Source organism: Homo sapiens, chromosome Y (assembly GCF_000001405.40).
Source record: "Homo sapiens chromosome Y, GRCh38.p14 Primary Assembly".
NCBI classification, from domain to species: domain Eukaryota; kingdom Metazoa; phylum Chordata; class Mammalia; order Primates; family Hominidae; genus Homo; species Homo sapiens.
The window spans coordinates 19,626,626-19,643,675 of record NC_000024.10 but is presented as its reverse complement, the minus strand read 5'-3'; positions in this window follow the sequence as shown (position 1 = coordinate 19,643,675).

Here is a 17,050-nt window from a genome sequence, read left to right as displayed (position 1 = left end):
ATAAACTAGTGAATCTAGGAGAAATGGATAAATTCCTGGACACATACACCCTCCCAAGACTAAACCAGGAAGAAGTTGAATCTCTGAATAGACCAATAAAGACTCTAAAATTGAGGCAATAATTCATAGCCTACCAACCAAAAAAAATTCCAGGACCAGACAGATTCACAGCCAAATTCTACTAGAGGTACAAAGAGGAGCTGGTACCTTTCCTTCTGAAACTATTCCAATCAATAGAAAAAGAAGGAATATTCCCTAACTCATTTTATGAGGCCAGCATCATCCTGATACCAAAGACTAGCAGAGACACAACAAACAGAGAATTTTAGATCAATATCCCTGATTAACATCCATGTGAAAATCCTCAATAAAATACTGGCAAACCAAATCCAGCAGCACATCAAAGAGCTTATCCAGCAAGATCAAGCTAGCTTCATCCCTGGGATGCAAGGCTGGTTCAACATATGCAAATCCATACATGCAATCCATCACATAAAAGAACCAAAGACAAAAACCTCATGGCTGGTTCAACATATGCAAATCAATACATGCAATCCATCACATAAAAAGAACCAAAGACAAAAACCACATGATTATCTCAATGGATGCAGAAAAGACCTTCAACAAAATTCAACAGCCATTCATGCTAAAAACTCTCAATAAACTAGATATTGATGGAATGTATCTCAAAATAATAAGAGCTATTTATGGAAAACCCACAGCCAGTATCATACTCAATGGGTTAAAATTGGAAGCATTCCCTTTGAAAACTGGCACAAGACAGGGATGCCCTCTCTCACCACTCCTATTCAACATAGTGTTGGAAGTTCTGGCCAGGGCAATCAGGCAAGGGAAAGAAATAAAGGGTATTCAGTTAGGAAAAGAGGAAGTCAAATTGTCCCTCTTTGTAGATGACATGATTGTATATTTAGAAAACCCCATCATCTCAGCCCAAAATCTCCTTAAGCTGATAAGCAACATCAGCAAAGTCTCAGGATACAAAATCAATGTGCAAAAATCACAAGCATCCTTATGCACAAATAACAGACAGAGAGCCAAATCATGGGTGAACTCTCATTCATAATTGCTACAAAGAGAATAAAATATGTAGGAATCCAACTTACAAAGCATGTGAAGGACCTCTTCAGGGAGAACTACAAATCATTGCTCAACAAAAATAAAGGAGGACACAAACAAATGGAACAATATTCCATGTTCATAGATAGGAAGAATCAATATCATGGAAATGGCCATACTGATTTATAGATTTATCAATTCAATGCCATTCTCATCAAGCTACCAATGACTTTCTTCACAAAATTGGAAAAAACTACTTTAAAATTCATATGGAACCAAAAAAGAGCCTGCATTGCCAAGACAATCCTAAGCAAAAAGAACAAAGCTGGAGGCATCATGCTACCTGACTTCAAACTATACTACAAGTGTACAGTAACCAAAACAATATGGTACCAGTACCAAAACAGAGATATAGACCAATGGAACAGAACAGAGGCCTCAGAAATAACAACACATCTATAACCATCTGACCTTTGACAAACCTGACAAAAACAAGAAATGGGGAAATGATTCCCTATTTAATAAATGGTGCTGGGAAAACTGACTAGCCATATGTAGAAAGCTGAAACAGGTTTGCTTTCTTACACCTTATACAAAAATTAATTCAAGATGGATTGAAGACTTAAATGTTAGACCTAAAACCATGAAAACCTCGAATAAAACCTAGATAAGAGCATTCAGGTCATAGGCCTGGGCAAGGACTTCATGACTAAGACACCAAAACAAATGGCAACAGGAGCCAAAATTAATAAATAGGATTTAATTAAACTAAAGAGTTTCTGCACAGCAAAAGAAAGTACCATCAGAGTGAACAGTAAACCTACAGAATGAGAGAAAATTTTTGCAATGTACCCGTCTGACAAAGGGCTAATATCCAGAATCTACAAAGAAATTAAACAGATTTACAAGAAAAAATCAAACAACCCCATCAAAATTGGGCAAAGTATATGAACAGACACTTCTCAAAAGAAGACATTTACACAGCCAACAGATGCATGAAAAAATATTCATCATCACTGGTCATCAGAGAAATGCAAATCAAAACCACAGAGCTACCATCTCACACCAGTTAGAATGGCAATCACTAAAAAGTCAGGAAACAACAGATGCTGGAGAAAACAACAGATGTGGGGAAAAAGGAAGGTTTTTACATTGTTGGTGGGACCTGTAAACTAGTTCAACCATTGTGGAACACAGTGTGGTGATTCCTCAAGGATCTAGAACCAGAAATACCATCTGACCCAGTGATCGCATTACAGGGTATATACCCAAAGGATTATATATCATGCTACTATAAAGACACATGTACACATATGTTTATTGAGGCACTAATTCACAATAGCAAAGACTTGGAACCAACCCAAATGTCCATCAATGATAGACTGGGTTAAGAAAATGTGGCACATACACACTGTGGAATACTATGCAGCCATAAAAAAGGATGAGTTCATGTCCTTTGCAGGGATATAGATGAAGCTGGAAACCATCATTCTGAGCAAACTATAACAAGGACAGAAAACCAAACATCGCATATTCTCACTCACAGGTGGGAATTGAATAATGAGAACACTTGGACACAGGGCAGGGAACATCACACACTGGGGCCTGTCGTGGGTTGGGGGAATGGGGAATAGATAGCATTAGGAGAAATACCTAATGTAAATGACAAACCCACATGGCACATGTATATGTATGTAACAAACCTGCACATTGTCCACATGTACTCTAGAACTTAAAGTATAATAATAATTAAAAATAAATTGACAAGAAAGAATTGTCTGTATGGCATACAAAAACTTATAATAATCATAATTATAATTGATAACATATAACAAGACAAAGTAATTTTAGGAATCTTTTACAATTTTGGAACACATGCTAATGACGTATTTGTAGAAACATAAGTCAAAAAGTTAAACTTTTTTTTTTATTTGAAAAGGCTTTCCATATGATTTTAACATACCAAGTAAGACTAACGTATCTCTTTTGGACTTGTAGGAGCCCTAATATATAAGAAGCTAATTTAAGGTTCACAAACGTAAATGTATAATTTGAAATTTCATTTTGAAAAGTTTGTCAGATATCAAAGGTTTAAAACACTTGCTAAAAATTGTATCACAGGTAACTGTAAAATGATTGTCATTTAACCAAAATGATAAGTTAAAGATTTTGAAAAGCATAGGCATTTACACTTTGATAACTAAGAGGTTCAGTTTCTCAACAAAAGATTTAATAAAGTGTAGTGACTAAATCTATCTCTTCCTATCTCTCCTCATTTTTTTTCATTTAACTCAAAAGTTTTTAAAAAAATATTTCCTAAAGAGAGGGTCTGACTCTGTGTAAAGGCTGGCGTGATGCAGTACAATCAGGCATCACTGCAGCCATGAGCTCCTGGGCTCAAGCAATCCTACCATATGAGCCTCCTGAGTAGTTGTGAATACAGGCACACTCCCTACACCCAGTTACTTATTTTTATTTTTTGTAGAGATGGGGTCTTCCTGTATTGCCTAGGCTGGTTTTAAATTCCTAGGTTCAAGGGTTCCTTCTGCTTTAGCTTCCAAACATGCTGGGATTATACACATGAGCCACAACACTTGGACCAAAAATTTTTTCTAGGATAATTTTATTCTAAAGAGAAAAACAAATTTTATGTCCATATTAGTGCATTATTAATATATTAAAGGTAATTTCAATAAAACTTTATAAGCAAATTTAATCTCAGTTAGCTATTGATCACATAAAATTTGTATGTCTTTTAACCTTATCGCTTTTATTTTCCTACTTAATGTTTACTTAGTTTGAACCAGAATTTTCTTTTTATTTTGAAACATTTCTAATATCCTATGAACTACATTTTTAGGTTTCCAAGACGGTGCGTTGAAAGCGTTCTATTAGCATGCCTCTCCAACATGGAAAGACAAAATAGTGTATAGATATTCATGCTGAATTTTTTTTTTCTGGAACTAACACAGGAATTTAACAGAAAAACTGAATAACACCACAGAACCTTGGGAAAAAAGTGGTGGGCCTACATCATGAGCCAAGAAAAAAACTTTGAGTCTCCAGAGGATAAGAGGGAGAGGGACTGTCACCATAACACACTCCCACTGGTGAGCTTGGCAATCCAGACCATGAGAGAAGGCCTTAACACTACCTAGTCCTGAACCTTATTTAATGAGTGGTGGGGAATATGTGAGGAGTGGCATCAGCACATGCTTTATGTGCACTCACAGATTTCAATGAGCACAGAGGGAAGCCACTCCTGATCCTAACTATCAGGGAGCCTAATGGAAGTTTGCCGGCTAACTCAGGTAGTGGTCACAAGTTGAGCGAAGCCTTCAACTAATACTGATAATATAATCTTGAGTAGGAATGAACTCCCTTTGCAGAACCAGGGGGTTGAGTAAATAGTGTGCTACAGCCACAGGTACAGATGCTGGACACCCCTGCTTCATGGCTGAAACAGGAGGGCATGACATAAAAGCTATGGTTTTAGTCTTAGTTGGAGTGACTTATAGTCTGGGGAAATTTTGAGTTCTAAGGATAGATTGCCTGGATGGAGCTCAGCTAATTGTTGCTATGGAAACATTATGAGTCTAAGACCTGCCATGACAACTTCATTGCAGCTGACTTTGGCTTACTGCCACCTGCTACCCCACTTCCTTGTGTGACTTCTTTTGTGCAGCAGAGGCATCTGTGATTCACATTGGAACATTTCCCTCACAGTCAGTTGTACTGTCCTCTGATTCCTAGTGGAACTGGTACTTGCACCTGCACATAGGGAGCCAGAGTACAGACTTTATGGCTCCATCTATTGCTTGAGACACCAAAGTATATACACTGAGTGACATAACAAACAGAAATTCCACCATGATTATCACAGCTGGTGCTGCTTCGCAAGGGCCATCTCCTGGTCAGATGCCAACCAGCAAAGTCCATTACACCTGCAGGGACAGTAACACAGAACCAAAGTGCTGGGATTATAGGCGTGAGCCACTGCACCCTGCTGTTAGAAATTTCTTGCAGCAGAGGCACAAGTGCAGTGCGGGGATCGGTGAAGAAAGTCTATGGCTTTATCCCAACAGGCAGTCCTGATGCTTGTGAAAGGTCTTGGAGAAGGAGACTTTTCCCCGTCACCCGCCACTGCAGACAGAGCTGGAACTTCTTCCATAGGAGTTTGGCGTGGATTCACTTGTAGTCAGACTTTCTGAAACATTTTAGGGTGACTGCATTGCCATAAAAGGAGTGTTATAAAGATTCAGGCTTGCATGAAGGTGAGTCGCAATCCCTCTCGACATGGAAAATTAACATGTCTGCAGATAAAAAGAAGTACCTGTCTGATTTGAAAAGCTGGAACACTGGGTTAGGAGTGTGACTGGGAGGTGGACTGCATTCTTGCTGACTCAACACGGGAGTTGAGGTGCCTTCCTTTTTTGTTTCTGAGAAGTCCCCATTGAGTTTCACTGAGAGCTCCTCTGGCTACCTCTGTCAACTGGGACTTCTGCCCACCATTTGGTATTGCATTTACCCACCTGCTTTAGATGCAGCCGATTCTTACCCATGGACACTTTCTACTTTCCTGAAGCCTAAACTGTTTCACCCAGTAAATGAAACACTGGGGGGAAAAGGAAAAAAATTAAAAAATAAAATTATTGTGGAGCTTCAAGAGACCTCTGTTATTTCAGCCACAGAGAAAACAGTAAACCTGCCCACAAACTGAGCATATCACTGCTATAACCAGCATCTGAGAAAGCCATCACAAAAAGATAATCTATAACCAAGAAACTCATATAGAGTCTTTACCACTGAAAGCACCCAGAGCTGAATCTAGGTGATGGTAAGTGGAAAACATTAAAGGCACAGCCTCAATGGGAAAAAAGAAATTTAAAAAAACACCATTGAATAAAAAATGAATACAAAAATAATTATAGAAAAATGAGAAGAAAACAAAAAATCATTCTAGGAATATGAATAAACAGAGTTCAATAACATCCATTATAGGACATATTAGTTCTTTCACAATGAATACAAACCAAAAGGAAGTCTTTGAAATACCAGATAAATAATTCAAAAGTTCATTTATAAGTTACATAAGGAGCTACAAGGGAAAGATAAAAACTAACAAAAGGAATTTCAAAGGAATTCAGAATATTAGTAAAAAAGTTTCTAGGTATAACTATTTTAGAGAAAAACCAATCAAAACTTATAGAAATCAAAGACACATTTAGGAAATTTTAAAATGCTTTGGAAATTTTTAACAAGTAGAAGAAGGAATTTCAAATCTTAAAGAAAAGGCTTTTAAATTAGCCCAATCAGATTAAATGAAGAAAAAATAAATTTCTAAGAAATATAGAATTATGTAAAATGGCAAATCTAAGACATATAGCTATTCCTGAAGAAAAAGAAGAAGAAAAAAGTTGGAGCAACCCACTTGAGAAAATAATTAAGAAAATCTTTTCTGGCTTTGCTAGAAATTTAAACGTAAAAATACAAGCAGCTCAAAAAACTTCTGGGAGATATATTGCAAAAAGGGCATTAACAAAGCATGTATTGAATACACTATTTAAATGCAACACGAAGAAAATAATTCTAACAGCAGTGAAATAAAAGCATTAGGTAATATAAAAAGGAAAGTTTTTCAGACTAACAGCAAAATTTTCAGTGGAAACATTACAAGCAAGGAAAAATTGGGGTCCTATCTCAAGTCTTCTTAAACAAAATAGCTAATCAGCCAAAGAATTTGTATCCACCAAAACTAAGCATAATAAATGAAGGAGAAACAGTCCTTCTCTGACCAGCAAAAGTTGAGAGGATATTGAGGGAGTTTGTCAATATCAGGCAAGCCCTGTTAGAAATGCTGAAATGAGTTCTAAATCCAAAACAAATTTTGGTATGAAACAGAGTGGAAATACCTCAAAGCATAAAATTCAAAAGGCTTAAAAAATAAAATGCTATGAATAAAACAAAGTCACTAAGTAAGAATCAATGCAATGAGTGGAACAGTACCTTGCATTACAGTATTGATGTTGAACGTAAATTATAATAATTCTCAATTTAAAATATATGAATTTACAGATTGCATAAAAAATTACAAACCAACTATCTGCTGTCTTCAGGAGACACACTTAACCCGTAAAAATTCTAATTCTTATAGACCCAAGGCAAAGGTGTGGCAAAAGATACGTTATGCAAATGGAAACCAAAAATGTGTGGGAGAATCCATTCTTAGATAAACAGACTTTCAAGAAATAGTGTAAAAAGACAAAGAAGGTTACCATATAATGATAAAAGAATCAACCCAATGAGACAATATTACAGTTCTAAATAAATATGCTCTGAACTATGGAACTCACAAATTTATAAAACAATTAGTAATAGACCAATTAAAATAGACAGACAGCAATACTATAATATGGGAAGACTTCAATGCTCCACTGACAGCACTAGACAGATCATTGAGCCAGAAAATTAACACAAAAATATCTGGCCTTAAACTGCACTGTACAACAAATGGATGTAACAGGTATTTACAAAATATTCACCGAAGTAGAAAAAAAGGATTCAACATGCGCAATTAGAAATTAAAAGAGGCCATACAGCCAATATTACACAATACAAAATATTATTAGAAGCTACTGTGAACTTATCTTTGCACAGAAACTCAAAAATCCAGAGGAAATAGATACATTTTTGGAAACATACAACCTTCCTAACTTAAAATCTAGAATAGAAATATACTTTCTTCTCATTAGTACACATAGCATTCTCTGAGATAGACCATATGATAGGCTAGTAAATGTCTCAATAAATTTTGAAAATTGAGATCAGATCAAGTTCTCACACCACATTGGAAAAAAAAATCAATTCCAAAAAAGAAATACCTCTTAAAACTACACAAAAACCTGAAAATTAAACAATGTACTCAAATATGATTTTGGGATAAACCAGAAAATCAAAATAAAAATTAAATTTTTTTTCAAAATGAAGAATAACAGTGACACAAGCTACTAAAACCTGTGGATGCTGCAAAAGAAATGCTAAAAGGAAAGATTATAGCACTAAATGCCTACATCAAAAAGTCTGAAATATCACAAATTGACAACATAATACCACACCTCATGAAAGTAAGCAAAGAACAACAAACCAAATCCAGTGCTAGCAGAAAAAAAAGAAATGACAAAGATCAGAGTGGAACTAAATAAAATAGAGAAAGAAAAACCAAAAGACAAATAAAAAAATGGTTTTTTTGAAAAAAAAAAAGAATAGAATTAGTAGGCTACTAGTTAGACTAACAAAAAAAAGATTCAAACAAGCTTCATTAGCAATGAAAACTGTGACAATACAACAAACACTACGAAATACAAAATATCTTTAGGGACTACTATAAACATGTATTTGCACACAAACTCAAAAATAGAGAAAATTGATAAATTTCTGGAAACATTCAAAATTCTTAAATTAGGAATAGAAATTCTAGACAAACCAATAATAAGCAGTGAGTTAGAATCAGTAATAAAAAGGAAAACCCAACAACAACAATAAATGCACATGTCAAAATGGATTCACAGCTAAGTTCTATTAAGATCAGGCTTTTGGTGGAGCCAAGATGGCCGACAGGGAACAGCTCCAGGCTAGAGCTCCCAGTGTGGGCGATGCAGAAGACAGGTGATTTCTGCATTTCCAACTGAGGTACTGTGCTCATCTCACTGGGGAGTGTCAGAAAGTGGGTGCAGGACCATGGCTGCAGTGCACCCAGTGTCAGCAGAAGCATGGCAAGGCATTGCCTCACCCAGGAAGTGCAAGGGGTCAGGGAATTCCCTTTCCTAGTCAAAGAAAGTGGTGACAGATGGCAACTGGAAAATCAGGTCACTCCCACCGTAATACTGCACTTTTCCAGGGGTCTTAGCAAATGGCACACCAGGAGATTATATCCCGCACATGGCTCAGAGGGTCCTGTGCCCACGGAGCCTCACTCATTGCTAGCACAACAGTCTGAGATCAAACTGCAAGGTGGCAGCAAAGCTGGGAGAGGGGCGCCCACCATTGCTGAGGCTTGAGTAGGTAAACAAAATGGCGAGGAAGCTCAAACTGCCTGGAGCCCACCTCAGCTCAAGGAGGCCTGCCTGCCTCTGTAGACTCCACCTATGGGGGCAGGGAATAGCCAAACAAAAGGCAGCAGAATCCTGTGCAGACTTAAATGTCCCTGTGTGACAGCTTTGAACAGAGCAGTGGTTCTCCCAGCACCAAGCTGGAGATCCAAGAATGGACAGACTGCCTCCTCAAGTGGGTCCCTGACCTCTGAGTAGCCTAACTGGGAGGCACCCCCCAGTAGGGGCAGACTGACACCTCACATGGCTGGGTACTGCTCTGATACAAAAATTCCAGAGGAATGATCAGGCAGCAACATTTGCTGCTCACCAATATCTGCTGTTCTGCAGACTCTGCTGCTGATACCCAGGAAAATAGGGTCTGGAGTGGACCTTCAGCAAACTCCAACAGACCTGCAGCTGAGGGTCCTGAATGTTAGAAGGAAAACTAACAAACAAAAAAGACACCCACACAAAAACTCCATCTGTACATGACCATCATCAAAGATCAAAGGTAAATAAAACGACAAAAATGGGGAAAAAACAGAGCAGAAAAACTGGAAACTCTAAAAATCAGAGCACCTCTCCTCCTCCAAAGGAATGCAGCTCCTCATCAGCAATGGAACAAAGCTGGATGGAGAATGACTTTGACCAGTTGAGAGAAGGCTTCAGACAATAAAACTACTCTGAGCTAAAGGAGGAAGTTCAAACCCATGGCAAAGAAGTTAAAAACCTTAAAAAAAATTACATGAATGGCTAACTAGAATAACCAATGCAGAGAAGTCCTTAAAGGACCTGATGGAACTGGAAACCACAGCATGAGAACTATGTGATGAATGCACAAGCCTCGGTAGCCAACTTGATCAACCGGAAGAAAGGGTATTAGTGATGGAAGATCAAATGAATGAAATGAAGGAAGAAGAGAAGTTTAGAGAAAAAAGAATAAAAAGAAACAAACAAAGCCTCCAAGAAATATGGGACTATGTGAAAAGACCAAATCTATGTCTGACTGGTGTATCTGAAAGTGATGGGGAGAATGGAACCAAGTTGGAAAACATTCTGCAGGATATTGTCCAGGAGAACTTCCCCAATCTAGCAAGGCAGGCCAACATTCAAATTGAGGAAATACAGACAATGCCACAAAGATACTCCTTGAGAAGAACAATTCCAAGACACATAATTGTCAGATTCACCAAAGTTGAAATGAATGAAAAAATGTTTACAGTAGCCAGAGAGAAAGGTTGGGTTACCCACAAAGGGAAGCCCATCAGACTAACAACTGATCTCTCAGCAGAAACTCTACAAGCCAGAAGAGAGTGGAGGCCAATATTCAACATTCTTAAAGAAAAGAATTTTCAACCCAGAATTTCATATCCAGCCAAACTAAGCTTCATAGTGAAGGAAAAATAAAATCCTTTACAGACAAGCAAATGCTGAGAAATTTTGTCACCACCAGGCCTGCCCTAAAAGAGCTCCTGAAGGAAGCACTAAACATGGAAAGGAACAAACAATACCAGCCACTGAAAAAACATGCCAAACTGTGAAGACCGTCGAGGCTAGGAAGAAACTGCATCAACTAATGAGCAAAATAACCAGGTAACATCATAATGACAAGAACAAATTCACACATAACAATATTAACCTTAAATGTAAATGGGCTAAATGTGCCAATTAAAAGACACAGACTGGCAAACTGGATAAAGAGTCAAGACCCATCAGTGTGCTGTATTCGGGAAACCCATCTCACGTGCAGAGACACACATAGGCTCAAAACAAAGGGATGGAAGAAGATCTACCAAGAAAACAGAAAACAAAAAAAGGCAGGGGTTGCAATCCTGGTCTCTGATAAGACAGACTTTAAACCAACAAAAATCAAAAGAGACAAAGAAGGCCATTACGTAATGGTAAAGGGATCAATTCAGCAAGAAGAGCTAACTATCCTAAATATACATGCACCCAATACAGGAGCACCCAGATTCATAAAGCAAGACCTTAGAGACCTACAAAGAGACTTGGACTCCCATACAATAATAATGGGAGGCTTTAAAACCCACTGTCAACATTAGACAGATCGACAAGACAGAGGTTAACAAAGATATCCAGGATTTCAATTCAGCTCTGCGCCAACCAGACCTAAGAGACATCTACAGAACTCTCCACCCAAAATCAACAGAGTATACATTCTTCTCAGCACCACACCACACTTATTCCACATAGTTGGAAGTAAAGCACTCTTCAGCAAATGTAAAAGAACAGAAATTATAACAAACTGTCTCTCAGACCACAGTGCAATCAAACTAGAACTCAGGATTAAGAAACTCACTCAAAACCGCTCAACTACATGGAAACTGAACAACCTGCTCCTGAATGACTACTGGGTACATAATGAAATGAAGGCAGAAATCAAGATATTCTTTGCAACCAACAGAACAAGGACACAGCATACCAGAATCTCTGGGACACATTCGACACATTCAAAGCAGTGTGTAGAGGGAAATTTATAGCACAAAATGCCCACAAGAGAAAGGAGGAAAGATCTAAAATTGACAACCTAACATCACAATTAAAAGAACTAGAGAAACAAGAGTGAACACATTGAAAAGCTAGCAGAAGGCAAGAAATAACTAAGATCAGAGCAGAACTGAAGGAAATAGAGACATAAAAAAACCATCAAAAAAATCAATGAATCCAGGAGCTGGTTTTTTGAAAAGATCAACAAAATTGAATTGACACACTGTTAGCAAGACTAACAAAAAAGAAAAGAGAGAAGAATCAAATGGATACAATAAAAAATGATAAAGGGGATATCACCAAAGATCTCTCTTTTTTTTCCTAGTCTGGTTAAAGATTAGACAACTCCATTTATATTTTCAACACAACCAACTTTTTGTTTCATTGATCTTTTGCATTTTTTCATTTCAAATTCATGTATTTCTGCTCTGATCTCTATTATTCCTTTTTTCCACTGATTTTGCATTCTGTTTGTTCCAGCTTTTCTAGTTTTTCAAGATGAATTATTAGATTATTTATTTGAGATTTTCTTATTTTTTGATGTAGCACTTAGAGCTATAAATATCCTTCTTAGTACTGTTTATTGCTCTATTTACTTTGCTGTCTTTATTGACCCACTTATCATTCAGAAGTATGTTGTTTAATTTCCATGTGTTTGCATAGTTTGAAAAATGTTTTTGTTATTCTAGTTTTATTCCATTGTGACAGATAAAATTCTTTATTACTTTAATGTCTTAAGACTTTTTTGTGACCCTACATATAATTTATTACTGAGAATAATCCATGCACTGAAGAAAAGATATGTATATTCTACAGCCATTGGACAAAAAGTTTTATAAATATCTATTACCACAATTTGTACTAAAGTGCAGATTCAGATCTATTTTTTTTCTTCATTATTTTTCTTGGAGATATGTCCAAATGCAACGTGGGGTGTTGAAGACTCTAGTTATTGTACAAATTAAGGTGTATCTCTCTTTCTCTGTAGCTCTGCAATATAAATTAATACAGGTTGAGATCTATCTCTCTCTTTAGCTATAATAATATTTGCTTTATATGTCTGTGTGTTCTGGTGTAGGATACATACATACTTACATATACATGTATAATATAGGTGCAATTATAATATTCTCTTGCTGCACTGACCCATTTATCAGTATAAAATGATTTTTATTGTCTCTTCTTAGAGTTTATGTCTTAAAATATATTTGGTCTAAGTATAGCTATTCCTGCTCTTTTTTATTTTTTGTTGCCATAAAATATCTTTTTTATTCCTTTATTTTCAAAGTATGTGTATGACTATAGGTAAATGTTTATTGAAGACAACAGACTATTGTATATTGTTTTTTCTTCTATTCAGTCACTCTGTGTCTTCTACTACAGCATGTGGTCTATTTACATTCAATGTTATTATTATAATTAAGAACTTACTCTTGCAATTTTGTTGTGAGTTTTCAGGTTGTTTTGTGGTCTCTTCTATCATTCCATTCTGCATTCCTTTTAGTAAAAGTGATTTTCTCTGGTGGCATACTGTAATTTCTTGCTTTTAATTTTTTGTGTATCCATGGTATGCTTTTCAATTTAAGCTTATGGTGAGGCTAGTAAATTGTTAAAATTTTTAATTTAAAATGTGTATTTAATTTAAATTGCACTAAGTAAACAAATTTATTTTTTATGAACTTAATCTTATTAAAATTTATACAAATTATTTATAAGACTTATTTATGAGGAGGTTCTAAGATGGCCAAATAGGAATAGCTCCAATCTGCAGCTCCCAGCGTGAGTGACACAAGTGATTTGTGCATTTCCAACTAAGGTACCCGGTTCATCTCCCTGGGCTTGTGAGACAGTGGGTGCAGCCCACGAGCAGGGCAGGGCATCACCTCAACTGGGAAGCTCAAGGGGTCAGGGAATTCCCTTTCCTAGCAAAGGGAAAGCATGACAGACAGTACCTGGAAAATCGGGACATTCCCACCCTAATACTGTGCTTTTCCAATGGCCTTAGCAAATAGCACAACAGGAGATTATAGCCCATGCCTGGCTAGGAAGGTCCCATGCCCACAGAGCCTCACTGACTGCTAGCACAGCAGTCTGAGATCCAACTGCTTGGCAGCAGTGAGGCTGGGGGAGGGGCGTCTGCCATTGCTGAGGCTAGAGTAGGTAAACAAAGTGGCCAGGAAGCTTGAACTGGGTGGAGCCCACCTGAACACAAGGAGACCTGCCTGCCTCTGTAGACTTCATGTCTAGAGGCAGGGCATAGCTGAACATAAGGCAGCAGAAACTTCTGCAGACTTAAACGTCCTTGTCTGGCCGCTTTGAAGAGAGTAGTGGTTCTCCCAGCACAGAGTTTGAGATCTGAGAATGGACAGTCTGTCTCCTCAAGTGTGTCCCTGACCTCTGAGTAGCGTAACTGGGAGGCATCTGCCAGTAGGAGCCAACTGACATACAGCTGGCTGCTCCTCTGAGATGAAGTTTCCAGAGGCAGGATCAGACAGCAACACTTGCCATTCTGCAATATTTGCTGTTCTGCAGCCTCTGCTGGTGATACCCTGGCAAACAGGGTCTGGAGTGGACCTCCAGCAAATTCCAACAGACCTGCAGCTGAGGGTCCTGACTGTCAGAATGAAAACTAACAAACAGAAAAGACATCCGCACCAAAACCTCATCTGTACACCATCATGAAAGACCAAAGGTAGATAAAACCAAAAAGAGGGGGAGAAACCAGAGCAGAAAAACTGAAAATTCTAAACATCCGAGTGTCTCTTCTCCTCCAGAGGAATGCAGCTACTCGCCAGCAACAGAACAAAGCTGGACAAAGAATGACTTTGATGAGTTGAGAGAAGGCTTCAGACAATGGGTAATAACAAACTTCTCCAAGCTAAAGAAGGGTGTTCAAAACCATCACAAAGAAGCTAAAGACCTTGAAACAAGATTAGATGAATGGCTAACTAGAATAAACAGTGTAGAGAAGCCCTTAAGTGAACTGTTGGAACTGAAAATCATGGCACAAGAACTACATGACACATGCACAAGCTTCAGTAGCTGATTTGATCAAGTGGAAGAAAGGGTATGAGTGATTGAAGATCAAATGAATGAAATGAAGCAAGAAGAGAAGTTTAGAGAGAAAAGAGCAAAGAGAAATGAACAAAGCCTCCAAGAAATATGGTACTATATGAACAAAGCCTCCAAGAAATATGGGACTATGTGAAAAGACCAAATCTATGTCTGATTGGTGTACCTGAAAGTGACGGGGAGAATGGAACCAAGCTGGAAAACACTCTTCAGGATATTATCCAGGAGAACTTCTGCAACCTTGTGAGGCAGGCCAACATTCAAATTCAGGAAATACAGAGAATGCCACACCTCGAGAAGAGCAACTCCAAAACACATAATTGTCAGATTCACCAAAGTTGAAATAAAGGAAAAAATGCTAAGGGCAGCCAGAGAGAAAGATCGGGTTACCCACAAAAGGAAGCCAATCAGACTAACAGCAGTTCTCTCAGCAGAAACTCTACAAGCCAGAAGAGAGTGGGGGCCAACATTCAACATTATTAAAGAAAAGAATTTTCAACCCAGAATTTCATATCCGGCCAAACTAAGCTTCATAAGTGAAGGACAAATAAAATATTTTATAGACAAAACAAATGCTGGGAGATTTTGTCACCACCAGGCCTGCCGTACAAGAGCTCCTGAAGGAAGCAATAAATATTGAAAGGAACAACAGGTACCAGCCACTGCAAAACATGTCATTGTAAAGACTATTGATTCTAGGAAGAAACTGCATCAACTAACAAATAAAATAACCAGCTAACATCATAATGACAGGATCAAATTCACACATAACAATATTAACCTTAAATGTAAATGGGCTAAATGTGACAATTAAAAGACACAGTCTGGCAAAGTGGATAAAGAGTCAAGACCCATCACTGTGCTGTATTCAGGAGACCCATCTCACATGCAGAGACACACATAGGCTCACAATAAAGAGACAGAGGAAGATCTACCAAGCAAACGGAAAACAGAAAAAAGCAGGGGCTGCAATCCAATTCTCTGACAAAACAGACTTTAAACCAACAAAGCTCAAAAGAGACAAAGAAGGCCATTACATAATGGTAAGGGGCTCAATTCATCAAGAAGAGCTGACTATCCTAAATATATATGCACCCAATACAGGAGCATCCAGATTCATTCAGCAAGTCCTTAGAGACCTACAAAGAGACTTAAGACTCCCACGCAATAATAATGGGAGACTTTAACACCTCACTGTCAACATTTAACAGATCAATGAGACAGAAAGTCAACAAAGATATCCAGGAATTGAACTCAGCTCTGCACCAAGTGGACCTAATAGACATCTACAGAACTCTCCACCCCAAATCAACAGACTATACATTCTTCTCAGAACCACATAACACTTATTCTAAAATTGACCATATAGTTGGAAGTAAAGCACTCTTCAGCAAATGTAAAAGAATAGAAATTATAACAAACTGTCTCTCAGACCACAGTGCAATCAAACTAGAACTCAGGATTAAGAAACTCACTCAAAACCACTCAACTACATGGAAACTGAACAACTTGCTCCTGAACGACTACTGGGTACATACGAAAATGAACGCAGAAATCAAGATGTTCTTTGAAACCAATGAGAACAAAGACACAACATACCAGAAACTGTGGGACACATTTAAAGCAGTATGTAGACAGAAATTTGTAGCACTCAATGCCCACAAGAGAAAGCAGGAAAGATGTAAAATTGACACTCTACCATTACAATTAACAGAACTAGAGAAACAAGAGCACACACATTCAAAAGCTATCAGAAGTCAAGATAAAACTAAGATTAGAGAAGAACTGAAGGAGATAGAGACAGAAAAAACCCTTCAAAAAATCAATGAATCCAGATGTTTTTTGAAAAGATCAACAAAATTGATAGACCACTAGCAAGACTAATGAAAAAGAAAAGAGAGAAGAATCAATTAGATGAAATAAAAAAATAATAAAGGGGATACCACCACCAATCCCACAGAAATACAAACTACCATCAGAGAATAATATAAACACCTCCATGCAAATAAACTAGAAAATCTAGAAGAAATGGAAAAATTCCTGGACACATATACCCTCCCAAGACTAAAAAAGGAACAAGTTGAATCCCTGAATAGACCAATAACATGTTCTGAAATTAAGCCAATAATTAACAGCCTACCAACCAAAAAAAAGTCCAGGACCAGATGGATTCACAGCTGAATTCTACCAGAGGTACAAAGAGGAGCTGGTACCATTACTTCTGAAACTATTTCAATCAATAGAAAAAGAGAGAATCCTCCCTAATTCATTTTATGGGGCCAACATCATCCTGATACCAAAGC